This window comes from Homo sapiens, chromosome X (assembly GCF_000001405.40).
Source record: "Homo sapiens chromosome X, GRCh38.p14 Primary Assembly".
Taxonomy (NCBI): domain Eukaryota; kingdom Metazoa; phylum Chordata; class Mammalia; order Primates; family Hominidae; genus Homo; species Homo sapiens.
The window spans coordinates 82,740,095-82,767,444 of record NC_000023.11 but is presented as its reverse complement, the minus strand read 5'-3'; the positions used below and the strand labels follow the sequence as shown (position 1 = coordinate 82,767,444).

At 35.4% G+C, this 27,350-nt stretch overlaps 2 long non-coding RNA genes across 2 annotated transcripts in view; one reads left to right on the top strand and one right to left on the bottom strand.

Annotated features, from left to right (window-relative positions):
* The window catches only part of LOC105373288 (uncharacterized), a 42,537-nt gene extending 32,949 nt beyond the window's left edge, over window positions 1-9,588 (bottom strand). Inside the window, exons 1-2 of the long non-coding RNA XR_938457.3 lie at window positions 9,461-9,588; window positions 612-905 (exon numbers count right to left, since the gene is read on the bottom strand). This is a non-coding gene — a long non-coding RNA (uncharacterized LOC105373288). The remainder of the gene's footprint in view (window positions 1-611; window positions 906-9,460) is intronic.
* Window positions 1,521-26,270, top strand: LOC105373287 (uncharacterized). Its single transcript, XR_938456.3, has 3 exons — window positions 1,521-1,955; window positions 19,821-19,977; window positions 25,852-26,270. It is a non-coding gene; the product is annotated as an uncharacterized LOC105373287 (long non-coding RNA).
* Window positions 26,271-27,350: the final 1,080 nt, after the last annotated feature.

Below are 27,350 nucleotides of genomic sequence, written 5' to 3'. Positions count from 1 at the left end.
GTCAGACCGGCTCTCTGCTCTCAAACCCTGTTTTCTGTTGTTTAGGATGTTTATCAAGACAATACGTGCACAGCTGAACATAGTCCCTTATCAGTAGTTTTGTTTTGCCTTTTGTCCTGTTCCTTCAGAAGCATGAGACCTTTGTTCTGCTTTTTGCCCTTTGAAGCATGTGATCTTTTTACCTACTCCCTGTTTTACACCCCCTCCCCTTTTTTGAAACCCTTAATAAAAACTTGCTGGTCTGAGACTCAGGCGGGTATCACAGTCCTACCGATATATGATGTCACCCCCGGAGGCCCAGCTGTAAAATTCCTCTCTTTGTACTCTTTCTCTTTATTTCTCAGCTGGCCGACACTTATGGAAAATAGAACCTATTTTGAAATATTGGGGGTGGGTTCCCCCGATAATCTATAAGAATTGAATTTTAGGCTGTTAAAGTGGATAACTATGACTTAATTATAGAATTGGCAAGAGTTTTTAGCATTACTCAGCAACTTTCATATGAAAGGTTAGCAATAACACTATAGTTTACAACATAAAATAAGAATCTCTAAATATTCCAAAGTCAAGAGTGAGGCAAAAGCTATCAATTCAAAGGAGATATCCATTACCTTAATAAAATAATTGGCCAGGTGTGGTGGCTCAAGCCTGTAATCCCAGCACTTGGGGAGGCCAAGGCTTTTGGATCACCTGAGGTCAGGAGTTCGAGACCAGCCTGGCCAACATGGCAAAACCTTGTCTCTACTAAAAACACAAAAATTAGCTGGGCATAGAGGTGCAGGCTTGTAATCCCAGCTACTTGGGAGGTTGAGGTGGGGGGATCACTTGAGCCTGGGCGATGGAGGTTGCAGAGAACCGAGATTGTGCCACTGTACTCCAGCCTGGGTGACGGAGTGAGACCCTGTCTGAAAAATAAAATAAAATAAAATAGTTGGAATTATTTACTTTTACCTTATGGGTTTTACATTATACAGGCAAAAAGAACCACAAAGGAAGTCAGAAGATAAAAAACAAATCTGATTAAAGGACAAAGTTTCCACCTAAATTTTCAGTCTCCCTTTTCCTTTCAATTGTGATATATATGACCTCTGAGGTAAAAATTATCCTTTATTCCTATAGATTAGCAAATTTACCATTCTGGCAGTTGTTTTCTTCATTGAAATATGTCCTTGCTTCCAGCTAAAATGTATATTTAAGGAATAGCAATTTTTATGGAATATGTCATAGGAAGCATAAACAGTATTTTCAAATGCAGGCTGTAAGTTAAGTAAAACATGACACTAAAAAGGAACAGCAAAACTGTTGTTTTCTAACTGTTGGCTAACCAAGATGACTAGCTACGTAAATATATAAACATTTACATTGGAAGTAAAAACTATTTAAAAAGATATTTTATTGTGAAGCCCAAATATAAACTTGGCTTTGACTGCTGTTATAGGCAGCTCAGCTTCTATCCTGAAGGACATCTACCCTTATGTGTTTTGGCAGATCTCCAGGGTACCCTGGGAGAAAGTAATATCTCCATTTACATATCAAAGCAAATGAAGGATCCAAGCTCAGTGGAACTCTAAGGGGATGTGAAAGTATTTTATGAAACAGGAGTTTCAAAAACTTTCCTTCCTAAAGCCAGGCTACCTCCTTCTTTTTATTTCATTTCATTTATTTTACTTTAAAATCATCTTTAATATTTGTGGGTACAATGACTAGCACGCTGTAGTATCTTACTGAGAAGCAACCAAGATAAGCCTGAGAAAGAGTTAAAAGATGCTATGCAAGAGGTTTTTGAATTAAATAACTGTTTTCAGTAAAGATATAGGGAAAAGGAGAAGTCAGTTTAAGGATCTGGGCCCACTCTCACGGTTTTACTGTTTTGGACATCTACAGAATTACACACAGAAGTGATCAACAGAAGTTCTGCATTTCATGAAAAAGGACTAATCCCCCATAACCAAAAGGTACTTAACTTGATTTTTACTGTGTATTGAAGAATATTTTAAACGATCATCTTAACTTTTGTACATTTATTAAAATGCAGTTTCTGTTTAGTAAGATTCTTAGCTTTCTTCTCTTTGCACAGCCTGGAGTACACAGTACAGTATATAGAAACAAATGCTAAGCTGATGTGGAGTTAAAAATCCGGCCTATTGGAGATGTCCTCAGCAAGGTTCTCTTGGTCATTTGGCACTGAAAGCTTCCTATAAAGAAATGAAAACTAAAGGCTAAAGATATGTACGAAACAATAATATTAGGTTGTGGCAAACATTATTGTAAGAATCTCAACAAGGAGGACATAAAACATTCAGAGGTTGATGTCTTTTTGTCAGATATTTGTGTTTAAAAGTTTTCTATAAGTATTCAAATAATTTTCTTTCACAATTGAACTGTGTCATCTCTTAACTTTTAATTATTCTAAAATGGCATTTTTGCTGTATTTAATTAATAAGAAATGAAAGTCATTTTTTATTTCATCAAATCAAAACCTTGTTCTTCAATGAAATAGCAATTATAATAGTAATTATGATGATTCTTCACATTCATGAAGTGCTTTTACTTTCTCTTAAAATTCCTTTGACGAAGGAAAAGGAAGGACCAATCAGATATAGATGGAATGCTTATTTCTCCTTCCATCAAATAGTTAAATGCTTGTTAACTTTTCTCTGTCTCTCTCCCTGTCTCTCTCTCTCTCTCTTAGTTGCTCACTCACTATTGCCTTCCTTTTGTTTCTCTGTTAATATTTCTTGAATCCTTGGTATGACTCAGGTGTTTTACCCTCTTTGGGAACTTTTTCAGGGTTTCTTATTTGTCTCTTTCATTATTACTATAAAAATGTTTAGCATAAATTATGTGTAGGGCCAAGTGCTAGACACTTAAAATCACTGAAGGTTTAGGTATACTCGTAACACATTCAATATTTATGTTTCCTGTTACTGTTTCCTGTTATATGCTCTTATATTTTTGTAATTTAACACTCCACAGCCCAGAATACAATTCCAAGGCACAAAGGCATTTAAATACATCCTGGAAGTTGTTGAGAATAATTATTTTGCTTTCCTTCAACAAATGTTTGTTGAGCATCTACTATGTGCTAAGCACTGTATTATGTGCTAGAGATATAAATGAAGAATAATATAGTACCTCTTCTCAAGAGATCATAATCTTAGTGATGAAAACAGACATGACAACTGATGAATATAGAGCAATGATAAGTCTGATAATAAAGGAATAACAGAGTTTTATGGGAGGGAACGGAAAGAGCTCACAAGATTGCTTGAAGGATGAGTCAGAACAAGGCTCACAGAGGTGGGTTTTAATGATGAAGGACTTTGCCAAGCAGATGACAATTAATAGTAATAATGATAATAATAACAATGTCCTTTATTGGGCCACTACTAGGTCCCAGGCAGTAGGCTAAGTATAATGGTTATTACCTCTGTTTTGCAAATGAGATAGCTGAGGTTCAAGAAGTTAAGTAACTTCTCCAAGATCACACAGGAAGTAAATAGCGGAAACAGAATTTCAACCCCAGTTTATCTTATTCTACCTACATGGTACTACTATACTTTGCCACCATTTTATAGTTCTCCTTATAATATGGTTTTGTAAAATGTTATTTTTTTAACCTTTAATAATTTGTTTCCAAATTTTTTTTAATTTACATTTTGCTTTTTATTATGTGTGTTAATTAAAAATTAGTTTGAGTGTGTATATATAAAGTATATTCAACAGTGATTTCAGCCCTACCTATCTCTTAGGGTTTTTATGAGACTCAAATGATAGGAGACTTTTAAAAGTTCTTTGAAAATTTGACAGATAAAACAAGTACTTATTATTATTCATAATGTATCTCCAGCCACAAAAGTTTGCTCAGTTTTTGTCATTTTAAGTTTTACTTTCACTCTAAGGATTATTTCTTTATGTCTGTTGAGTTTACCTTTGCATGTCTGTGGATGTTTCCATGTTCTACTTCTTTGCAATTATATTTAATTGATTTACAGTTAGAATTGTGATTTGGCAGTAATTACTTGATCATCTGTAGATGATATCAATCTAATTATTTGTAAACTGGCTGCCATTAGTTACTTTCATTTTCCACTTTTGCATGATTTTGTACATGCATGCATGTGTATGTGGTATAGCTCTACAATATATTACAGCATTACTAAAGCCAAGTTTAACTGACTTACTTAAGCTTCATTTTAAGTCACTGTCATATGCATACCGTAAACTTCAGGTCTTTGACATTTCTTTAATGCTCAATCTGCTTGTAGCACCAGTAATTTATTCATATTTTTTAAAAATTTTGAATGCCATTTTCCAACAAGTAGTTACTTTTTGGACACGTTTCTATGATATTTACTAAGAGCTAAGCATGTGACTTTGCATTATTTGTTTTTAATAGTTTTTGTATACTTCCATTGACTTTTATCTTGAAGTATTTATTTCTGCATTTTTATTTTTTTATTTTTTTTCTGGAGATGGAGTCTTGCTCTGTCACCCAGGGCCCAGGCTGGAGTGCAGTTGTGCAATCTTGGCTCACTGCAACCTCCGCCTCCCAGGTTCAAGCAATTCTCCCGCCTCAGACTCCTGAGTAGCTGGGACTACAAGCGCGTGCCACCATGCCAGGCTAATTTTTTGTATTTCTAGTAGAGACGGGTTTCACTGTGTTAGCCAGGATGATCTCACTCTCCTGACCTCCTGATCCACCCACCTCAGCCTCCCAAAGTGCTGGGATTACAGGTGTGAGCCACCACACCCAGCCATTTCTGCATTTTTAACCAGAAACTTATTCTCAGTCTCCCAGGATCTGGATTATAAGACCTTTGAGCTACTTTATTTATTTAAAAAATAGTAAATTCAATGCTGGGCAAGGTGGCTCATGCCTGTAATCCCAGCACTTTGGGAGGTTGAGGCAGGTGTATCACCTGAGGTGGGGAGTTCGAGACCAGCCTGACCAACATGGAGAAACCCTGCCTCTACTAAAAATACAAAATTAGCCTGGTGTGGTGGTGCACACCTGTAGTCCCTGCTACTCGGGAGGCTGAGGCAGGAGAATCACTTGAACCCCGGAGGCAGAGTTTGCAGTGAGCCGAGATCACACCATTGCACTCCAGCCTGGGCAACAAGAGCAAAACTCCATCACAAAAAAAAAAAAAAAGGAAATTATTTGTGATGGTTTTAATAGTGATGAAACTGTCATTTCTCTTTATATTATATATTCAATATTTGTCTCAAATATTAATAAGGTTTATTTGTCCCAAAGATGTGGGGATTAAAAAAAAAATCATAGATAGGTTTACTGTTCACTTCTATTTTCCTCTTCATTCAAGGCTAGATCTTGGAATTTTAGAACTTCATGGAGTTGTAGACATATCTTTGATTGAATCAGCTTGACAGCAAGATAGTGACTATATTGTGCCCAGAGTGAGAATAGAATTATCCATACTTTCTGATCCTTGTATGGATTTTCATTAAGTTAATTATTTTCTAAAATTATTTTATATATTGGATATAAATATTGACTTGTATGAGAAGCTTTTTCTTTTTAAATGAATTTTATCTTATTTTATTTTTTCAACTTTTATTATAGAAACAAAGTATACATGTGCAGGTGTGTTACAAAGGTATATTGTGTGATGCTAAGGTTTGAAGTACAACTGAATCCACCACTCAAGTAGTGAGCATAGTACTCAATAGGTTGTTTCCCAACACTTGTCCCCCTCCATCTTTTCCTCCCTTATTTAATGTCTCCATAATATATCTTGGTTTAAATTAGTGTTTTTTTCCTAATTAACAGACAAAAGTAAAATAGGTAAAATGAATATCTCTTTTTCTCTGTGGATATTTTTAGTAAGATAATAGTATGATCTATGTTTGAGTAATAAGCTGGTCTAGAGACTTCAAAGCAAAAGTTTAGAATACTTTAGAAGGCTATGTAAAGTTAGGAGTATAAAGAGTCATGACATATAAAGTTCCCCCTCTTCCCCACCCTGAGATCTTAAAACTGAGCTGAGAATACAAAAACACTTTGTGGAATACAGCAATAATAAAAAGGAAAAAACAGCTCTATTTATCAAGTATTTGATAAGTAATCCCCACAATCCCTTCCACTATGTGCTGTAAATTTTCTCTAAATTAACCAGCTACAAAGCCAATTAAGGAATTGTGTCTCAGAGTTCTCACTCACAAGTGGGAGTTGAACAATAAGAACACACGGAAACAGGGAGGGGAACAACACAGGTGGGGAGCAAGGGGCGGGAGAGCATTAGGACAAAGCCTAACGCATATGGGGCTTAAATGGGTTGATAGGTGAAGCAAATCACCCTGGCACGTGTATACCTATGTAGTAAACCTGCACATTCTGCACATGTATCCCAGAACTTAAAGTAAAGTAATAATACTGATAAAAGAAATTTGTATTTTACCTTCATAGTCAATTTCCAAATTCTTATGCTGTGGAAACTCATTCCATCTCTATTGGCTATAGAATTAAATTCAACGTAAGTTATATCCACATTATACCTGTTCCAAAGGAACATACTTATTCAAATATCTGAAATCCTTCTTCATATTTTAGTCTAGCCCACATAGATGCAGTATGGAGCCTGAGGCCCACTTTTGAAGAAAGGTACAGCAGACAATTTGTTATCTTGTACTATACACTCCCAGGAAAGCTTGGATAATATCATCTCCATTTTAGCTCTATAATTGTATCATTTAAAACTATATGCAAGAGAGAAGAGCATTAATTATGCTAGTTAAACCTGAGAACAACAAAAAATGCCAATTATGCGTAAGTCCTTGATGTGTGTAACCCCATATTGTATTTTCTTAAATTTCCAGGAGAATATAAAGAGACGACAAAGGATCAGTGAACAAATTTTTTTTCTTGTGGTTTATAACAACCACATGTTATATTATCACATATACTCCCTTTTAGGTGAAATCTGAGTATATAGCCAGAGGTATGTATTACAATATTTCCAGAATAACTTCTGGGGTATCATCCTGGAACACATGTGTATAAATGGATAGTAAATAGTCTCAGGCAACTGAAAAATGGAATCTGCACCCATATTATTACTGAGAGGAAGTTGAAAATTTATCAAAAATAAGGCCCTTGTTATCAGCTAAAGTGTTAGATTGTAAAAATCAGAGCAACTAAACAATTCTTACGTCTGATACATAAGATACATTCCACATTCATTTAACTGAGATTTACTAAGTATGCACCACAGGAATAGTCCTGGGCTAGGTGCTGTTAAACACAAAGAAGTACACAGCATGAAAGCTGTACTTAAAGCATGTATACCATATGTAGAGAGACAAAATAAATGTACATTAAAGCTACTGAGTAATTCATGAGTATAAGCAATTACCACAAAGTATAAAGTTATATTAAAATGAAAGGTCAGATTTAAATGATCAGTATTGTGTGAGTTCAGAGCAGAGAACAATGTGGACTGGCTTGATCAGGGAAGGCTTTCTGAAGGAGGTGAGACTTGAGGTGGACCAAAAAGTGATTCTAGGTGGTAAGGAATTGGATAGATAGCAGTAAGGAGTGGGGGCTATTCAGTGTCTGAAGAAAAATGAATAGTAAATAAAGTCTTAAAAGCTGTACTTAATGGTTGCAGGATCCTGTTTTTGAAAGAAGCATTAGGGAAGAGCAGCAAGAGACTAGCAGCCCTAGACCCCTGGGCTGAGTCAGATGCTACCCTGGCTTGGCCAAGGATTGGTCCTGTTGTCATACATTGTGACTCCAAATTACTTTGTTGAGTGAATTTTATTATTTCCTACTCCCAACTCATCATAATTCAATCAATTGCCATGTGATCTTTTGCAAATAAATAAAAGTCTTACAGCTAAGCATATATAATATGGCACAGCAGACTTTCATCTTATTGTTTTGAACTAGCCAGACCTATATTTTAAGAAAGATCACCCACAGATTTTGGCAGAAAGAGAAGGGAAAGAGAGAGAAAGAAATCCACCCACTGTGAACACGTTGAATTATTCTTACCAGGGCATCTGTGTGAACGATGCAAGCTGTGCAAAAATATTAATTTTAAGTGTGGCATATTCTGTGCAAGTCTGTCAAAAGACAAATACAGGCCGGGCGCAGTGGCTCATGCCTATAATCCCAGCACTTTGGGAGGCCGAGGCGGGTGGATCACCTGAGGTCAGGAGTTCTAAACCAGCCTGACCAACAGGGTGAAACCTCATCTCTACTAAAAATACAAAAACTCGCTGGGCGTGGTGGCGGGCGCCTGTAATCCCAGTACTCAGGAGGCTGTGGCAGGAGAATCGCTTGAACCCAGGAGGCAGAGGTTGCAGTGAGCCAAGATCGTGCCATTGCACTCCAGCCTGGGTGACAAGAGTGAAACTTCATCTCAAAAGAAAATTTAAAAAATACAATAAAAAGACAAATACAGGCCAAGGAATTAAATATGTATGTGTGTGTGTATATATATATATGAAGATATTGGTCACCTCAGTGGTTTAAAAGTGTTCCTTCCTGGGTTATGGGCTGGGCTATTGGTAAGGTCAATTTTTACTGCCTTCAATGCCAGTGGTAAACTTTCTCCTCTTATATTGTGGTGGAAGTGGGACATATGTCCCCATAAGTTTTCCAAGCCCAGATAATTGATCTGATAATAGCTTCTTGTCTCCTGGAGTTTGCGATAAGCATTAAATAGAGGAAAGAATAGGGACAAATAGGAAGAAATTGTTCACATCTTCAGTTCCCCATATTGGAAAGGCAGATTCATTAGGTATTCATCCTTTAGCAGAGGAACCTAGGGTTTCTGAATTTCTCTAAGTGAGTTTATTTTTAATGCTAGCTGTTTCGGAAAACCCCTGACATATTCTAGGTTAGTTAAAAGGAAGGAGTTTACATCCTGAGGAAGACTAATTTGGTTGAGGTCTGCAAAAGAGTTATTTATTCTAAAGATGACTGGAAAGTGAACAGGAAACATGAAGAGAAAAAACATACATTTTGGCCTTCAAAGCATTTTTTGGATTTTGTTTCATAACCCTAATCTTTAACATCAGATTAAAAGCCTCTAAATTTTATTTTACTTTCAGCGGTTAAATAACTATTAGTAATACAATAAAGCAAACCCTTCCCAATTTAAAAATGACCTTAGAAAGGAAACAAAAGACAATGTATTGAATATTTACTATACTATAGGTTTATGCTATAGATTCTAACTTTGGCATACTGGATCCTTGAGATATTTATGTGATTCACACTAACCCTTCTTATCATTCAATTATGCCACACTTAAAAAGTAATTCCACTATCACAATGGAATGAGGTTATGGACAATTATGCCCATTTTAACAAGGTGGACCCACCCAGAATTACTATACCATTTTTACTTTTCCCAAATGTGGAAAAACACAACAGTGAGCTGCCTTCCAGAAAATACAATCTAATAGCTAAACTTCATCGAAATTTTACCTGAATACTTTGAAGAAGTCATTTCTCTCCGCCTATTTGGCTTAAAGATGACTGTTGCTTCAGTGCAGGTATATGAAAAGTAGTTTTAGAAGAGTCTTTAGTTTTTTCTGAGTGAGTCATGTAAAAGCTGTTTGTTGTTATAAACCTTTCTCAAGTATAAAGAACATTGAGTTCCAGTATTTGCTACTTCCTTCTGAGCAGATGTTTGGCATCTTTTGTTTTTGGAATCAAATCAGAAATTCTGGCTACCATGTAGGAAATCATCCACTGAATGTAGAAGTTAGCCAATATTGTGTGAGTGTGTGTGGCAGGCAGGGGGTGGGGGGGCGGGGTGGGGAGCTTTCTAACCTTCTAATCCAAACACCTGAAACTTTGCAAGTGTCATATTGACAGTTCTCCGCATTCTGTTTTGTTAATGTGCAAGTCGAATGGCATTAATTTGGGGTTAAGGAAGTTACAAAATTCCTGTCATTTGCACTTTCATTCTTATTAAAATCAGTCAACACTGAAAATTCAGAAAATCTGTGGGCTAGCTGCCTTTTCCATACTTTTCTGATGCTTGTTTAATCCAAGGAGTTGAAGAAAATATATAATATATTATATATTCAGGAGAGAGCTCCTCGGAAGTTTTTCCTCCCAGCCCTGGCTGTGAAAGGACAATTTTGCTCATTGTAATCTATGTGGACTGCTGCAGCACACATATGACTTGAATACCATTGAAACTTAGCTCAGTGGTTTTCTTGTTCCATTACACAAAACAATCAAAGGCTTTTTTCTGATCAATTGCATACATTGATTTTATGTATCATTTCTCTAGAAAATGCAGTTAAGTGTCAGGAAAAGCTTTTGGATGGATGCATCACTAATATATACATATCAGTGGCCATGAATACTGGGTTACTTAAGACACACAATCAGATGCAACAGATTGGTCTCAGCTTTACTGATTTTGCTCTTGGCCTGTTGGATATTATTCACTATCATAGCACCCAAAGATTTGGAATAGCTAAAAAACCAGAGTGAAGTTTGATTAGATCAGTTGTCGTGTACTTTCCACATTGTACAAACCCTCTTTGTACCTGTTATGGTGCTCTTCCCATAATCAGTTTGGATAGTGATGCTAAATAAATCTTTAGCTGTTTTCCTCATGAATTTTATTTACTCAAACAGTTATGTTATATAAAAAGTTTCGGTGCCACAAAAGAAATAGCACTGGAATATAAAATTTTCTTTTTAATTCTCAGCAAGGCAAGGTACTTCTATAGAAGGGTGCATCCTTACAGGTGGAGCAATGGTGAGCACACTCTTGGACAAGGGAGGGGAAGGGGTTCTTATCCCTGATGCACGTGGCCCCTGCTGCTCTGTCCTTCCCCTATTGGCTAGGGTTAGACCACACAGGCTAAACTAATTCCGACTGGCTAATTTAAAGAGAGTGACACGGTGAGTGGTTTGGCCGGAAAAATGGTCTGACAGAACAGGTAATCGGAATGAGTCAGGGTGGAGTAGCTAATCTGGTTGAGTAAGGGTGGAGCAGGTGATTGAAATGAGTCAGGGTGGAGCAGGTAATTGAAAAAGTGTGCTTTATGAGGAAGTTAAGTTCAAAAGTAGAAGGCGAAGAATTGAATATACTGACATTGATTCTTTCAAAAGAAATTTAGAACTCATATCTAACAGTTAAACAGTATGACCTGTATTGTCTGATATAACAAAAAATCCGGACATAAGATGATTCTAGGTGTAGTAAATTCAGTGTCTCAGTAATACAAAATACCAAAGTTGTTGCTAATGTTTTTCTCTGCAACTCCAAGCATTTCAGGTTGGGTCTGAATAGCAGAATTTTAATTCTGCTACTATGAGTCTTAATTTCTTTGTTATTATATGCCAAATGTTTTAACATATATTACCTTATTCAATATACACAAAATAGTTCTTATGTATTATAACAGATACTGATGATTGTATATCCAACAGAAATCCACTCCTCCCCTTCCTCTTTCTTAACAAAACACTATTTTTTACTTATGTAGTAACTTTTTCTTTAGGGCTTTGCATTTAAGATAAGTGGATGTTGTTTCTAATCCAGGGAATGAGTGTCAACTAATGTTGGCAAGATAAGTGATGTAATTTTTCTGGCCAGTGATTAGTTTTGTTACAGGCCTGGGACTCATTTCTGATCAATGAGACCAGAGAGAAAGGTTTTTGGGGAGCATTAGGAAAAACTTTACTTAATGGTTAAATAAAAAGAGAACAGATACATGCAAGAAACACCTACCTTTGTTCTTATTCTTCTGGGCTTTTTTATGTCTGAATCTGATCCCTGAAAGTGCTGCAGCTATCTTGCTCCCATGAAGATATCTGAATTGAAATGCTTGGAATGGCAGAGAAAATCCTTGGCAAGGACTTCGGTCTTTTGTGTCAATGAGCCATTGAATTAACTAAACTTAGAATAAACTTATGTCTTCATTTTTTGTTATGTCAGACAATACAGATCATATTGTTTAAGCTATTTGATTCTGTGGCTTCTGCTACTTTCAAGCAAAAAATATCTAAGTTGATCCAAGTACAAGTACTTTTTGTTGTTGTTGTTGTTGTTGTTGACAGAGTCTTGCTCTGCCTCCCAGGCTGGAGTGCAGTGGCGCTATCTTGGCTCACTGCAACCTCCACCTTCCAGGTTCAAGTGATTTTCATGCCTTAGCCTCTGGAGTAGCTGGGATTACAAGTGCGTTCCACCACATCCGGCTAATTTTTGTATTTTTTAATAGAGACAGGGTTTTGCCACGTTGGCCAGGCTGGTCTTGAACTGCTGGCCTCAAGTGATAGGACTGCCTTGGCCAAAGTGCTGGAATTACAGGCATGAGCCACCATGCCAGGCTGATCTCGAACTCCTGACCTCAGGTGATCCATCTGCCTTGGCCTCCCAAAGTGCTGGCATTACAAGTGTGAGCCACTGCACCCGACCCCAGTTCAGTTGTTCAGTTTTTGTTGTTGTTGTTGTTGTTGTTGTTTTTAGACGGAGTCTTGCTGTGTCACCCAGGCTGGGGTGTGGTGGCGCAATCTCGGGATCTCGGCTCACTGCAAGCTCTGCCTCCCGGGTTCACACCATTCTCCTGCCTCAGCCTCCCGAGTAGCTGGGACTACAGGTGCCCTCCACCACGCCTGGCTAATTTTTTGTAGTTTTAGTGGAGATGGGGTTTCACCGTGTTAAGGCAGGATGGTCTCAATCTCCTGACCTCGTGATCTGCCCGCCTTGGCCTACCAAAGTGTAGTTCAGTTTTAATTGATGCTACATTTCCCCTAACTGGATGAATGTGGTAGCATATTTAGCATTTCATTTTACACCAAGAGTCTTTCAGGTGAATAAACAATCTGTGAAAATGTGTTTTCTATTCTCTGTACAAAACCAATATGTTTTGTTACTTCCACTTCATCTTCCACACCCAATCCTTAAGATCATTTTGGGCCAATGAAGGTATTTATGACTATGAGGCTATTAGATTCTCAATTAAAAAAACACAAGCTGTAACTTATATACATGCAACACTGGAGGTGAGGGGAAAAAAGTTTGAATAAACAGTAATAACTAGTGTATCACAAAGACAAGTACAGGCCAATATAGAACAATGACATGATGTTCTTAAAAGAATAATATGGAAAGAAAACAAAAATTTTAGGCTTATTAGATATTATATTAAAATCTCTTGGCTAAACCTGTAAAATGAAGAAAAAAATAATCATTACCTAGATGAATAATTCAAAATGAGATTTTAAATTTAATACATAATAAAGTAAGGAAAGAAATCATACATACAATTTGAAAAGTAAGTCTTATTCAGTAGAATTTGATTATACCCTGGCAAAAATCATGTTGAACAAATAATACTTGATATTTTCTAAAATGTAGGTTTTAATTTTGTCAAAGAATAAATAAGTTTTAATTTTATGATGTATTTAAAAGATTGTTGAGGGTAAGACTATGTTAATTATACACTGTTCACAATAGCAAATACATGGAATCAACCTAAATACCCATCAAAGATAGAATGGATAAAGAAAATGTGGTACATATACACCATGGAATACTATGCAGCCATAAAAAAAACCAAAAAAAACAAGATCGGCTGGGTGTGGTGGCTCATGCCTGTAATCCCAGCACTTTGGGAGGGGGAGACAGGCCAATCACCTGAGGTCGGGAGTTATAGACCAGCCTGAGCAACATGGAGAAACCCCATCTCTACTAAAAATACAAAATTAGCCGGGCGTGGTGGTGCATGCCTGTAATCCCAGCTACTCGGGAGGCTGAGGCAGGAGAATCGCTTCAACCTGGGAGGCAGGGGTTGTGGTGAGGCAAGATTGCACCATTGCACTCCAGCCTAGGCAATAAGAACAAAACTCCATCTCAAAACAAACAAACAAACAAAAAAAAACAAGATCATGTCCTTTGCAGGGACATGGATGGATCTGGATGCCATTATCCTTAGCAAACTAACACAGGAACAGAAAACCAAACACCGCATATACTTACTTATAAGTCAGAACCAAATAATGAGAACACATAAACACACAGAGAGGAACAACAGACATTGGGAACTATTAAGGGTGGAGGGTGAGAGGAGGGAGAGGATCAAGAAAAATAATTAATGGGCACTAAGCTTAATACCTGCTTGAAGGCCAAGCACGGTGGCTCACGCTTGTAATCCCAGCATCTTGGGAGGCCGAGGCGGGCGGATCACAAGATCAGGAGTTTGAGATCAGCCTGGCCAACATGATGAAACCCCGTCTCTACCAAAAATAGAAAAATTAGCCGGGTGTGGTGGCCATCACCTGTAATCCCAGCTTTGGGGAGGCTGAGGCAGGAGAATTGCTTCAACCCGGGAGGTGGAGGTTGCAGTGAGGCAAGATAGCACCACTGCACTCCAGCCTGGGCGACAGAGCAAGACTCCATCTTAAAAAACAAACAAACAAACAAAAAACCAGGGTGAAGAAATAATCTGAATAACAAATCCCATGACACAAGATTACTTATGTAACAAACCTGCACATGTACCCCTAAACTTAAAACACAACTTAAAAATAAATAAATAAATAAATTAGTAAAAGTCCATTACTTTTGGTGAAAAACAACATACCTCTAATACGGATGCTATCAGGAATTTTTCTTGCATTTTTCAGAGATCTTTACATGACATTTACTTCCTGTGTGGTATTATCAATTTCTGCACTGCTTTCAGTAGTTAAGGTTAAACTCTATTTATTTTCTGTTTCACTGTGGTTTGACTATTTAACTCTTTCATGTGTTCTTATGTGCACATTACTATTTTACAAAATAAGGAATCCTGAAAATGTTTAGAGGACCTGAAATGATACTTCAATAAACAGATTTTAATTTTTATAAAAAATATTCTATGGATTTAGATCATGCATTGAAAATAGTGAAAATTACAACATAAGGCATGGGGATTTGTGTGATGAAATTAATATGTTTTATAATAACACTATTTTATAAGATGTAATTCCATTACAGTGTTTGCCCATAATTTTTGAACTAGGTGATTGCAGTTTATTGAAAAAATATGGTCACAATGTTTTGTAACTTATTTATCATGAGGTGAATCTAGTCTAAACTGCTGGAATGCAGAATCCTGAAGTAATAAATGATTGGCTTTTTTGTTTGTTTGTTTTTTGTTGTTTTGTTTTTTTGAGAAGGACTTTCACTCTTGTTGCCCAGGATGGAGTACAATGACCGGCTCACTGCAACCTCCAACTCCCAGGTTCAGGCAATTCTCCTGCCTCAGCCTCCCGAGTAGCTGGGATTATAGGCATGTGCCACCATACCCAGCTAATTTTTGCATTTTTAGTAGAGACGGGTTTTCACCATGTTGGTCAGGCTGGTCTCAAACTCCTGACCTCAGGTGATCCACCCGCCCCGGCCTCCCAAGTGCTGGAATTACAGGGGTGAGCCACCACGCCCGGCCAAAATAATTGCTGTCTTAAGTCAATAAGATTTTATTATACAAGAAAGGCTAACTAATATAATGGTTCATTGTATAATCTAAGTATCTCTTGGAAGTTAATAATGTTATTGACAATTGCAGTTACTACTATTTCAAATGAAAAGAATTTCTTCAAATTGAAACTAATGAAAAACTAGCTAGAAATTACCATGACTCAAGACATGTTGTCATATTTAGCATTGCTGCAAGCAGAACACAAATAATGTGAAAATCGTTATCATGAAAACATCATTGGTGATTTTGGTGAAATAAATGTAAGAAATATATATTTGATAAAATAAATATAACAAATTTATGAATTATTTATGTATTTATTTTATTACTCATCAAAACATTCCTGGCCAGGCGCGGTGGCTCACGCCTGTAATCCCAGCACTTTGGGAGGCTGAGGCAGGCAGATTATGAGGTCAGATCAAGACCATCCTGGCTAACACGGTGAAACTCTGTCTCTACTAAAAATACAAAAAATTAGCCAGGCATTGTGATGGGCGCCTGTAGTCCCAGCCACTCAGGAGGCTGAGGCAGGAGAATGGCGTGAACCTGGGAGATGGAGCTTGCAGTGAGCTTAGATCGCGCCACTGCACTCTAGCCTGGGCAGCAGAGCAAGACTCCGTCTCAAAACAAAAACAAAAACAAAAACAAAAACAAAATTCCTGCCTCATCAGTAGAACACCTAGAACTGCACAATAATTGTTAAATTATCTTATTTTTGGAATTTTTCCCAAACCCCACAAGTTTTAGGGAATAGCTTTTTGTTTGCCTCCACTGCCATTGACTTATTTTCAACCCTCAATTATCTCTCACCTTCATTATTTTAATATTCTTCTAACAGCTTTATATAATTTGACTATCATTTTATCAACACTACAGATATAGTTATGAAAAACTTCACATTTTATATCTTTGAGAAGCAAACATTCACAGAAGAATGTAGAGATTATTAAGAAGGAAATTCAGTAAGTGTTGTAAAGCACAGATAGGTACTAGATTCTCAAGCATTAAGATAAGTTGTATAATGTCACTGAATTAAGGTCTTTCTGAAAAACCTTTGGCTTTCAGGTCACTGAGTTAAAAATGTTTGTGTCTTAAAATACAATGAGCTTCTGACCCAAGTCAAGGAAGAAAGACAAGATGATGAAAATTTTTTGGTACCTGCTTTTGTTGGAATTTTATGTCCTGCTACATTTGTGCAGGAATCTCAGGTTACTAGGAGTAACCTAGTACAACAACCTGAAAAAGGTGTTTTTGCTTTTCAAAATGTCCTTACTTTTCCAAATCCAATTATATTACATGGTGGCTGTAGGAAATACATTTAGCATATAGGAAATGCAGGATTTATGATTAATGCATTTATTATGATTTGAAAGTGTAATATTATAAAGTCCTCTGTGAAGCATTTCAAATCTTTAAGGAAGTGTGTCTTCATGTACACAGTGATGCAAACATATAATCCCTGATGTCTGTACTTTAATTGATATGTACTATATTGCGCTTTTTGAGACTCTGGATAGTCACTTCTTCCATGTAAGTACATTTAGGGGGTGAGATTTGCGTATACCAGAAAACGTTGCGCCCTGTACTTAAAGGCGATGTCAAAGAAAATGTTCTGCCTCAACTAATGACAACAATAAAAATAACATGTACTGAGTTACAACCTAAGTTTCAGAAATCTTAAGTGACTTATCCAAGGGACACATAACTAAAAAGTGATAGAGCAAGGCCTTGAGTTCAGATCATTCTGAATCCAAGTCCATGTTCCTAACCACAATAAATCCTAGTTTCTGATTATAAGTTTCTTTTGGGACCTGACAGATGAAGAAAATCTATACAGACCTTACAGAATTTTTCTGTCAATCAGCAATATTTGTAGAACATACACTATTAATAACACATAAGCTTGAATTAAGGTGATACCATCTAAAATAATTCTTCCTTCAAGTGGATATAGAAAATAATATCTTTCACTCTAAAACAAAATAAGTTACTGTGTCATTAACATTTTAGTTTGAAGTAGTTAATCACATGCCTTTCAGATGCAACTAGCATTTATTGGGCATTTACTACATGGCAGGCACTGGGCTAGACATGTTAACTTCACAGCATTGAGGGAAAAATTATCAAATGAAAATAGCTAACATCAATTGAGTGCTTATTGTAAGCTTTAGAAATTTATGAATTTAGGAAGTTTTCATATATTTTCTTATTTAATCTTCTGAAAATCCCTGTGAGTTAGGTATTCCGAATCAATAAATGAGCCAATGGAGTATCAGAAAGATTTATAAACTTCTCTTAGGTCACAAAAACAAGGTGTTGTGGGAACTTCATTTTAATCTAAAGATCACAGTCTTATTCCGTAAACCAGGGCTATGGATCTGCATTGATGTTTTTGTTCTGACTGAGTTTCTGTATGTGTACAGTGCAGCAATTTAAAGTAGTATTAATTCAGCAGCTTTTGTCCAGCCTTTCATGAAAACACTGTATGCATTATTTTCATTTGCTGGTCTTAATCTTTATTGTAAATGATAAGGCAAAATTGTACAGGTGAGTTCCTGGTTTTTATCTTAATCCTAAAAGTGATGTCAAGCATAAAGAAAGAAATGTGTCTAATTTAATAATGTTCAGAAAAAGGGTTTTTAGAGGGACCACAGAGCATGCCAAAAAAAATGCAGCATACTTCACATTCCTGAAATTGAGTCCCTCGTCTACCAGTGACATTGCACTAAATTAGGTTTGTATTCATGTGTTGAATGAAGCACTGAAATTTCCTGGGGAAATAAAGCTTCATCTCCCTTTTTCAAAGCTTATTGTTTCTGCAAATACATTGAGCATCTCTTAAGTAATTTCAGCCTCTCATTTATTTAATACACTACAGATGGATATCTGTTTAAGTCATTATGAGTCATTTCTGCCAACAAGTAAGCCCTTCAGAATTTAACAGGAAGAAATACATGCATGCTTCATGTAGCCTTAATTTAGTATGAGAGCCTCCATCTTCTATCTCTGGAAAGCAGTTCCGTCAGCAGGATGAACTTCTCTCTGTGGAAGTAACTTGGTTTGAACATAGCAGAAAACTCACTATCCAATCATTATTGTCCCTCAATCCTGCTACAACGTGCCACAGCAAAAAAGAGAAATATTGAGTTAATGCAACTTTTAGCATGTTGCAGCAATATTTCTGACCATTCTTTTACAACTACATGCACATACAATTTTTTCCTTAAGTATTGGATGTAAGAATAATTTGTTTGTCCCCCACATTTTTCCATGTTAATGATTCTGAAGAAAGTTCACTTCGTCTACCATGTAGTTCCATGTTTCACAAATTTTATGTAAGTCTATTCTAAATAAGTGACTGAATTAGGATTCATCCATCATGGATACATTTCTATAATTGATTTTCTAATCCTTTACTAGGATAATGTATCTCTGAGATCTGAGTATGTTGTTTTGTTATGGTTTATTTAAAATTGTAGATTTTTAAGCTGGGTATTATAAAACAGCTAGAAGAAAACTTAGGAAATATATTTAAAGAATCCTGAATTAATTAAAGTTTTTTTAAAGCAATACACAAAATCTAAAAACCATTAAAATGAGATACACATAACTGCTTTATAAAACTTATAATTATATTCATTGAAACAGTACCATAAATAAAGACAAAATGCAAACAAGAGAGAACAGGATATAAAATACACTTCTGACAAGGCAGTAATTTCCTCACTTTACAAAAAAATTCTAAAAGTCGATAAGAACGAGCTAAAAACCCTACAGAAAAATAGGCAGAGCATATGTATAGACAGTTTGTAGAAAAATATAAGTGAATTTAAACATATGAACATGTGAAATGAGGTGCAACATCACTAATAGAAAAATATATATAGTAGGGGATACATTCCAAGACCCCCAACTGGATGCCTGAAATTGTGGATAGTACTAAACCTTATGAGGATTAAGCTCTGATTTTTTTTTCTTTTATCTTGCCCAAATTCCTTTCTAAGTGGTCTGGGGAGTCATGCCCTACAAACCATACATTCTCATCAGATGGGTTTTATTTAACCCTGTATATAATTACTTACTTTCCGATCTGACTCTGGCATAACAAGGAAGAAAATCAAAATGTTTTACCCAAAAATATATTTCCGTGCCATACATTGAAATTGCCCTGCAAAATCTCTTATGGGAAAAATCTACATGCCTTCCTAATATGTCTCATGCCTTCCTAAAATATATAAAACCAAGCTGTACCCCAACCACCTTGGGCACATGTTCTCGGAACCTCCTGAGGTCTGTGTCACAGGCCGTGGTCACTCATATTTGGCTCAGAATTAATCTCTTAAAATATTTTACAGAGTTTGACTCTTTTCGTCAACAATAATCTGGCACCCAAACACGTGGAGCCTCAGAGAAGACTCAGGAACCCGAAGGAGTTGTGGAAACCAGAACTAAGGTACTAGCACGGGCCCACTGAAGCCCCACCGAGTTCGAGCTTCTCCTCCAGTGGAATGGGTAAGTCTTCCTGAGCCCTGGACCTCCCTTTGGTTGAGGTCCTTAATTTATTCTAAGCTGTTTTTTCCTGGGAAGGTGTTGTTTACGGATCTTAATTCAAGTTAGGAGATGCATTTCTAAAGGGTCTTCTCAATTGCTTTTCTCTCAGAATTAGCTACGAAAAAAGTGAAAACAAGGAGAATGACCCCCTTTCGAGCACTCCTTAGGTTTTATGGCACCTCTACTTGAAGTAATATGGCCTTTGTGCACATTTTACACTAAGGAAAAAGACTGCTAAGGTCGACCTAAGGTTCTCTTTCTCTATTTTCTTTTCTTCCTGCTTTAAATCTTCTGTTACTCTTCTACTAAGATGAAAACCACTGTTCGGATCTAACAGTGTTTTCTGCAAGCTGGCAAAGTTGTACTTGTCTCATGGCTAAAGTACTGAAGTAATAGCTATGAGAACTTTGTGTGTATGTATGTATATGGGTGTATATATATAAAGGCCTTTAGAATAGATTTCTATAATTTTATGTTCAAATGGCAATTAAATTCGTTTTAATTTCCCTCTAGCACACCAGACTTTCTCCCCATACCTTATGATGTAAATTTTGCTATCTGATCTTGATCTGAGTTGTTTCCTTTAATATGCAAATTTGGGGCTATTTAGGGAATGACTGCCTAGGGTGATGCAACATGTTTTCAAGAATTTAAAAGTCTAAAATAGAAATAGAAAAAAAGAAGGAAAAAGGAAGTATCTCATGAATGTATGAAATACTTCTGTCAGCATGCCTAAATACATCTATATATTTATGTGTGTACACACAATATTTTCTTTTTTTTTTTTTTTTTTTTTGTTTGATACGGAGTTTTGCTCTTGTTGCTCAGGGTGGAGTGCAATGGCGCGATCTTGGCTCACTGTTACCTCTGCCTCATGGGTTGAAGCGATTCTCCTGCCTCAGCCTCCTGAGTAGCTGGGATTACAAGCTTGTGTCACCACTCCCCACTAATTTTGTATTTTTAGTAGAGATGGTGTTTCTCCATTTTGTTCAGGCTGGTCTCCAACTCCTGACCTCAGGGGATCCATCCAGTTTGGCCTCCCAAAATGATGGGATTACAGGCATGAGCCACCACACCCAGCCCACAATATTTTCAGGACTAAAAATATATGAAGAGCTCTAATTAATTGGCTTCGAAAAAAGAGCTTAAATCAGATACTTAAAAAAAAAAAAGGAAGACAAGTCAAATTGTAGCAGGACGAGCCACGGACAAAACCTTTCAGACACCGAGTTGTAGAAGGAAGGGCTTTATTCAGCTGGGAGCATCAGCAAGCTACTGCCTTAAAATCTGAGCTCCCCGAATGCACAATTTCTGTCCCTTTTAAGGGCTCACAACGCTAAAGATTTCACATGAAAGGGTCGTGATTGATTTGAGCAAGCAAGGGGTATGTCAAAGGGGCTGCATGCACTGGTGGTCAGAGAGAAACAGAACAGGGCAGGGAGTTTCAGTGTTCTTCTATACAATGTCTGGAATCTATGAATAACATTGGTTTCTAAGTTTTGAGTTGATTTTTAACTACTGGATTTAGGCCAGGCAGGCCCAGGCCTGGTTTCGGGCCTGGCGCCAGGCTGCCTGTCTTTGGTTTTACTTCCTTGTTGTTTTTTCTTAAAACAGGTACTGAGTATAAAACAATATAAAACAACATGAGAGGGTCTCTCTCTTCCTTCAAAATGTTTTTTTCAAGTTCACGTGACTTAAAATCTTTACTAAATAAGCTGGCTTTTTTTTTATTTATTTTTATTTTATTTTTGAGATGGAGTCTCTCTCTGTCGCCCAGGCTGGAGTGCAGTGGCGCTATCTCGGCTCACTGCAACCTCTGCCTCCCGAGTTCAAGCGATTCTCCTGCCTCAGCCTCCCAAGTAGCTGGGACTATAGGCACCCGCCAACATGCTCACTAATTTTTGTATTTTTAGTAGAGACGGAGTTTCACCTTATTGGCCAGGCTGGTCTCGAACTCCTGACCTTGTGATCCATCCACCTTGGCCTCCCAAAGTGCTGGGATTACAGGTGTGAGCCACTGTGCCCAGCAAGCTGGCTTTAAGATTATGGTAAAATAATGATGTCTTTAGAATTGTTAGCATTTTGTTTGCATCTATTGATCAAGTAGTTTCATGTTTAATTCCTGCCAAATACTATAAGACTTGCCAAGATTTGCCATAAGGATTATAAACTATAAAACCTAGCCCAAGACAGAATAATCTTTGATTGTATATGATTATGAAATATTGTTGGCTTAAATAAAAACAGCTGAATACTGAGTTATTCATAAAACTAATCATAAGCTTTGTTACTTAGGTAAATACCTGAAATCCGCAGCTATAAAAATGGTTAATAGAAAAATAACTTTAAATATTTGCTATCACAGTTTTTTTGTAAATTATCTAGGTAAACTTAAATTAATCAGGTAAAGGTAATGGAATAAATACTTGTAAACAAACTTGTCATAATTTAGGATCTAAGGTTATTAATTGATATTAAGTATCTGGGCAATTTCCAATTTAACAATTACAGGAAAACAATTTTTTAAATGTTCTTATTAAAAGTAAAATATATTTGTCTAATTCAAGGCTTATTTAAGGGTTATGTATAAAACAATATAAAGGACTCAGGAAATAAGAGATGTAAAGAAAGTTAAAGATATAAAGATGTATTTTTGGTGAAAAAAAGTAAAAGGGACACTCAGTTTATATAAGAAAAGATCTTGCATAGTAAATTTTTGTCCTAAAATAAAAATGATGGTGTTGTACAAGAAAGAGAGATATTTAAGACAAAAGAGTCTAAACACATTGCGAATGAACTATGTAAGTCATAATAACGTTAGTAAAATAAATTTTTTAAAGGGGCTGTATAATTCAGTTGGCTATAATCAAAAAGAAATCATAATAATATTCCTAGAGATGGCTATTTAATATTAAAACATACACTAGTACGAAGCTAAATAATTGTTTAAAACAAATTTTTATTACAAGTATTGATTTATTTTGAATGCAAGACGTTTTTAAATTTTTAAATTCTATAATCTGTTTCTTTAACATTCTTCAAGTTGATATCTTAAAAGTGCCACTCTTTCTTTTAAAAAGGCCTTGAACGGTGGTCCTTCACCTTTTTTTTTTTTTTGGCTCCTATGACTTTTACTAATTATCTAAAGTAAAGGAGAAAAATTGTTTTTGAAAACAGGCAAATAAAGTATCTTTTGAACATGACTTTTATTCTGCATGCCTATTATATCTCTATCTTTATATGTGTCATATAGAAGTGATATTTCACTACCAAACTACATGAAAGAGCTCTAATCAAGTAACTTAAAAAATGTAAGTGCTTATTAGATTGGTAATAGCTAGCTCGGATGCCTTTTGATTTACATAACCTTGGTAATGTTTTAAAAAATTAAATTTGGTAAATTTAATCTTAAAACATTCTTCAGTAATTTAACATCTTAAAGTCATGATAAAACCTCAGTTTTTTTCCCCACTGGAAATTTGGGTTACTAAAAGTTAAAAATAGTAGGAACATAAAAATGCTTTTGGTAAAATTTTATAAAACCAAAAGATATCAATTTTCAAAGAAATGTAAGGTTTTTGGTTAAGAAACTATTTAAGGGTTTCTTTATAATGAAGGAAATTCTACAGATAAAACTAAATTGATTTTGAAAACCAAGCTCTGGCAGCAAAAGTTGACTCTGAGCGCTGTGGTTACCAAGAAAACAGTTGATATGGGGGAAGGGCAAAACTGAGTAACTAGTTAAAACCAAAGCGTGTAATATAAAGAAATTGTTCCATTTGGTAGATCGGTGTAATTCAGCTTCTAAAAAAAAAAAAAAACCTTTACTATAGTGAATTGTAAAAATAACCACTTTAAAGACATTTAAAGAAAGACAAAATTTTTAATTTTAAATGCTACAGAATTTAAGAGCATGTTTGGATTAATGTAGGACGCACAGCTCATTACTGAACAGTCACTGAGTATATGTGATCCAAATGCACAGGGGGTTATTCCTGAAAAAGCAATCAGCCTAGTGGGCCAGATAATGCCATTATAAGGTCTGTTTGCCCTGAAAAGGAGGCTGCCCAACTCTCCCTCCAAAATACCAAGTAAAGTACCCCAGAAAAACCAGTTATTCTGTTTCTTATGCAAGCCATGTTGGAATAGCTTTATGATAACTGGGATATCATCCCACCCAATCCCACCTAATGTGTCTGTTACCCTGGTCATGGTAAATTTGGGGGTTAAGGGGGCCACTTTTACATGGGTGCCCCTCCCACAGAACCATAGGTCTTTTTAAAAGCCTTATCTAATCTGCTGTCCCTCATAGATGCAGCTCCCTGCTGGGAACCCAAACCCTTTTCACCAGAAAAGGCCAAATGGTCTGGGGGTAAAAAAAAAAGGCTTCCTGGGAACAGAACATGAAAACATACAAATTAATAAAATTATAAAATATAAGATGTTTAAACAAGCTTTATGTAGGTTAGTTGTAACCCCTTTTTGTCTTATAAAAATGGGTACTATATCTAACTGAAGGGTGGTTTTCCTTTTCTAGTACTATAAAACTGAAGACGTGTAAATCTGCTCATGTAAATCCTCCACTGGATAGCCTTTTGTGTGAAGCACTTATCAGGGCTGATAGCAAAAACTGTAAATACTTTTCAACAACAACAACTGAGGTAGAGAGGTTCTACTTGATGGTCATTTACTGCCTTGCCGTGGAATATTAACTAAAGCTACCCGTATATTAATGAAAATAATGTTTCCCAAAAAGTTCCATGATTAAATAAAAATGGTTTACATAAAATCTTGCTACCTAATAAGCAAAGAGCCTCTTTTCTAGGACTAATCCTAAGGAACTGCTAAATTCCAGAGTGCCTAATAGCTCTCCTGAGCTGTTTGGTTTGTAAATGACATTTCCAAAGTAAACAACATCTTGTCTTAAAAGCTGCTGCTCTGGTTAAAGGAGGGTCAGGAAAATCTTTTTCTTTTAAGTGATTTGGGTAAAGTATGTTTTCGTAAGCAAATTTACTTTCTGAGTTCTGCAAAATTCAAATTGCAATTTTATGACAATATAGTTACCTGCATAAGTTCAATGATAGTTTTTTTTTTTTTTAAACAACTGGAGACACTGGTTATTTTACCAAGACTGAAACTAAAACAGTCTATTTTTAGATAAAGTTTCAGCAAAACGAACTTTATAGAGAGTCTATACAGCCAATTTCTTTCTGCATTTTATGCAAATAATCAGGCAAGCATAATAAGCCAAAAACTAACCTTGCACACAAATTGTCCTTGCTGTAATATTGTCTTTAATAAAAAAGGCAACTAAAAAAATGTTTAAAGGGTAAAGTGTAACACTTCATACTAAATTTCAGCCTTAATTTTTTTTTTTTTTTTTTTTTAGGACGGAGTCTTGCTCTGTCGCCCAAGCCAGAGTGCAGTGGCACAATCTTGGTTCACTGCAATTTCTGCCTCCCCGGTTCAAGTGATTCTCCTACCTCAGCCTCCTGGGTAGCTGGAATTACAGGTGCCCGCCACCACACCCGGCTAATTTTTTTGTATTTTTCTTAGAGACGGGCTTTCACCATGTTGGCCAGGCTGGTTTCGAACTCCTGACCTCAAGTAATCTACCTGCCTAAGCCTCCCAAAAGCCCTGACTTTTTAAGTGCAGATTAAAACATTATTTCTTGGCTATAATAATCCTCTAAAAAGTACCGGATTATAATTTTTCTTCATGTTTTTAGTTGGTGTCCTAATGGAATAGGTTCCTCTTTCTGTTTTAACATACAAATTACTCTTATAACTGCCAAACAATAAATGTTATTTATCTCTTTTTGTTTTACTTCCAAGGAAACCAAAATCATGGTATTCTGAAGGCCAGAGATATGAATCTCCGTCATTTGGCATCCCACTGGGATCGGATTTGTTTCACTACTAATGCTCTGCTGCTAAAACCATACAAGTTGCCTCCCTCTAGGCCCAGGGACTACTGCGGAAGAGGTGGGTGCGTTAAGATCGTAAAGGCTGGGTTTGAGGAATAAAATTAGGACAAAATCAAACCCTCTAAATCAAGAACAGGATACTAAAAAAAAAATGCCTAAACAGCTGGTAAAACAAGTTTAGTTGCCTTCTAAAGTATGATGTGTCACTTTTGCATCCAACCCAACCATAAAAATTTTGTGCTTACTATAAAATTAAAGGAAAATGTTTGCTAACAGGATAAAATAACTTTTAACAAAGCCTCCTGGGTATAATACACCCAATTATAAGTTGTGACGATAAATATATCACGAGATATATATATCTCTATATCATTATTTATATATTATATATAATATATATATGTATTTTTGTATTTTTATATATATTTTATATTTATTTTATACTTATATATAAATATAAATAATTTATATATATAAATATATAAAAATAAATATATATTTATATGAATATATATATAAAAATATATAAATATATATATATAAATATATATAAATGTATAAATATATATTTATATATAAAAATATATTTATATATAAAAATATATAAAAATATATAAATATATATTTATATATATAAATATATAAATATATATATATAAAAATATATAAATACATAAATATATATTTATATATAAAAATATATATAAATATATAAATATATTTTTATATATAAAAATACATATTACTATATAAATATATAAAAATATATATAAATATATATTTATATATATATTAATATATATTTATAGATAAAAATATATATTAATATATCTTTATAGATAAATATATCTAAATATATCTTTATAGATAAATATATCTATAAATATATCTTTATAGATAAATATATCTATAAATATATCTTTATAGATAAATATATCTTTATAGATAAATATATCTATAAATATATCTTTATAGATAAATATATCTATAAATATATCTTTATAGATAAATATATCTTTATAGATAAATATATCTATAAATATATCTTTATAGATAAATATATCTATAAATATATCTTTATAGATAAATATATCTATAAATATATCTTTATAGATAAATATATCTATAAATATATCTTTATAGATAAATATATCTATAAATATATCTTTATAGATAAATATATCTATAAATATATTTATACTGTGCAATGGCACAGTCTCAGCTCACCGTAACCTCTGCCTCCCAGATTCAAACGATTCTCTTGCCTCAGCCACCTGACTAGCTGGGATTACAGGCATGTGCCACCACGCCCAGATAATTTTGTATTTTTAGTAGAGGTGGGGTTTCTCCATGTTGGTCAGGCTGGTCTCGAACTCCCAACCTCAGGTGATCTGCCCGCCTCAGCCT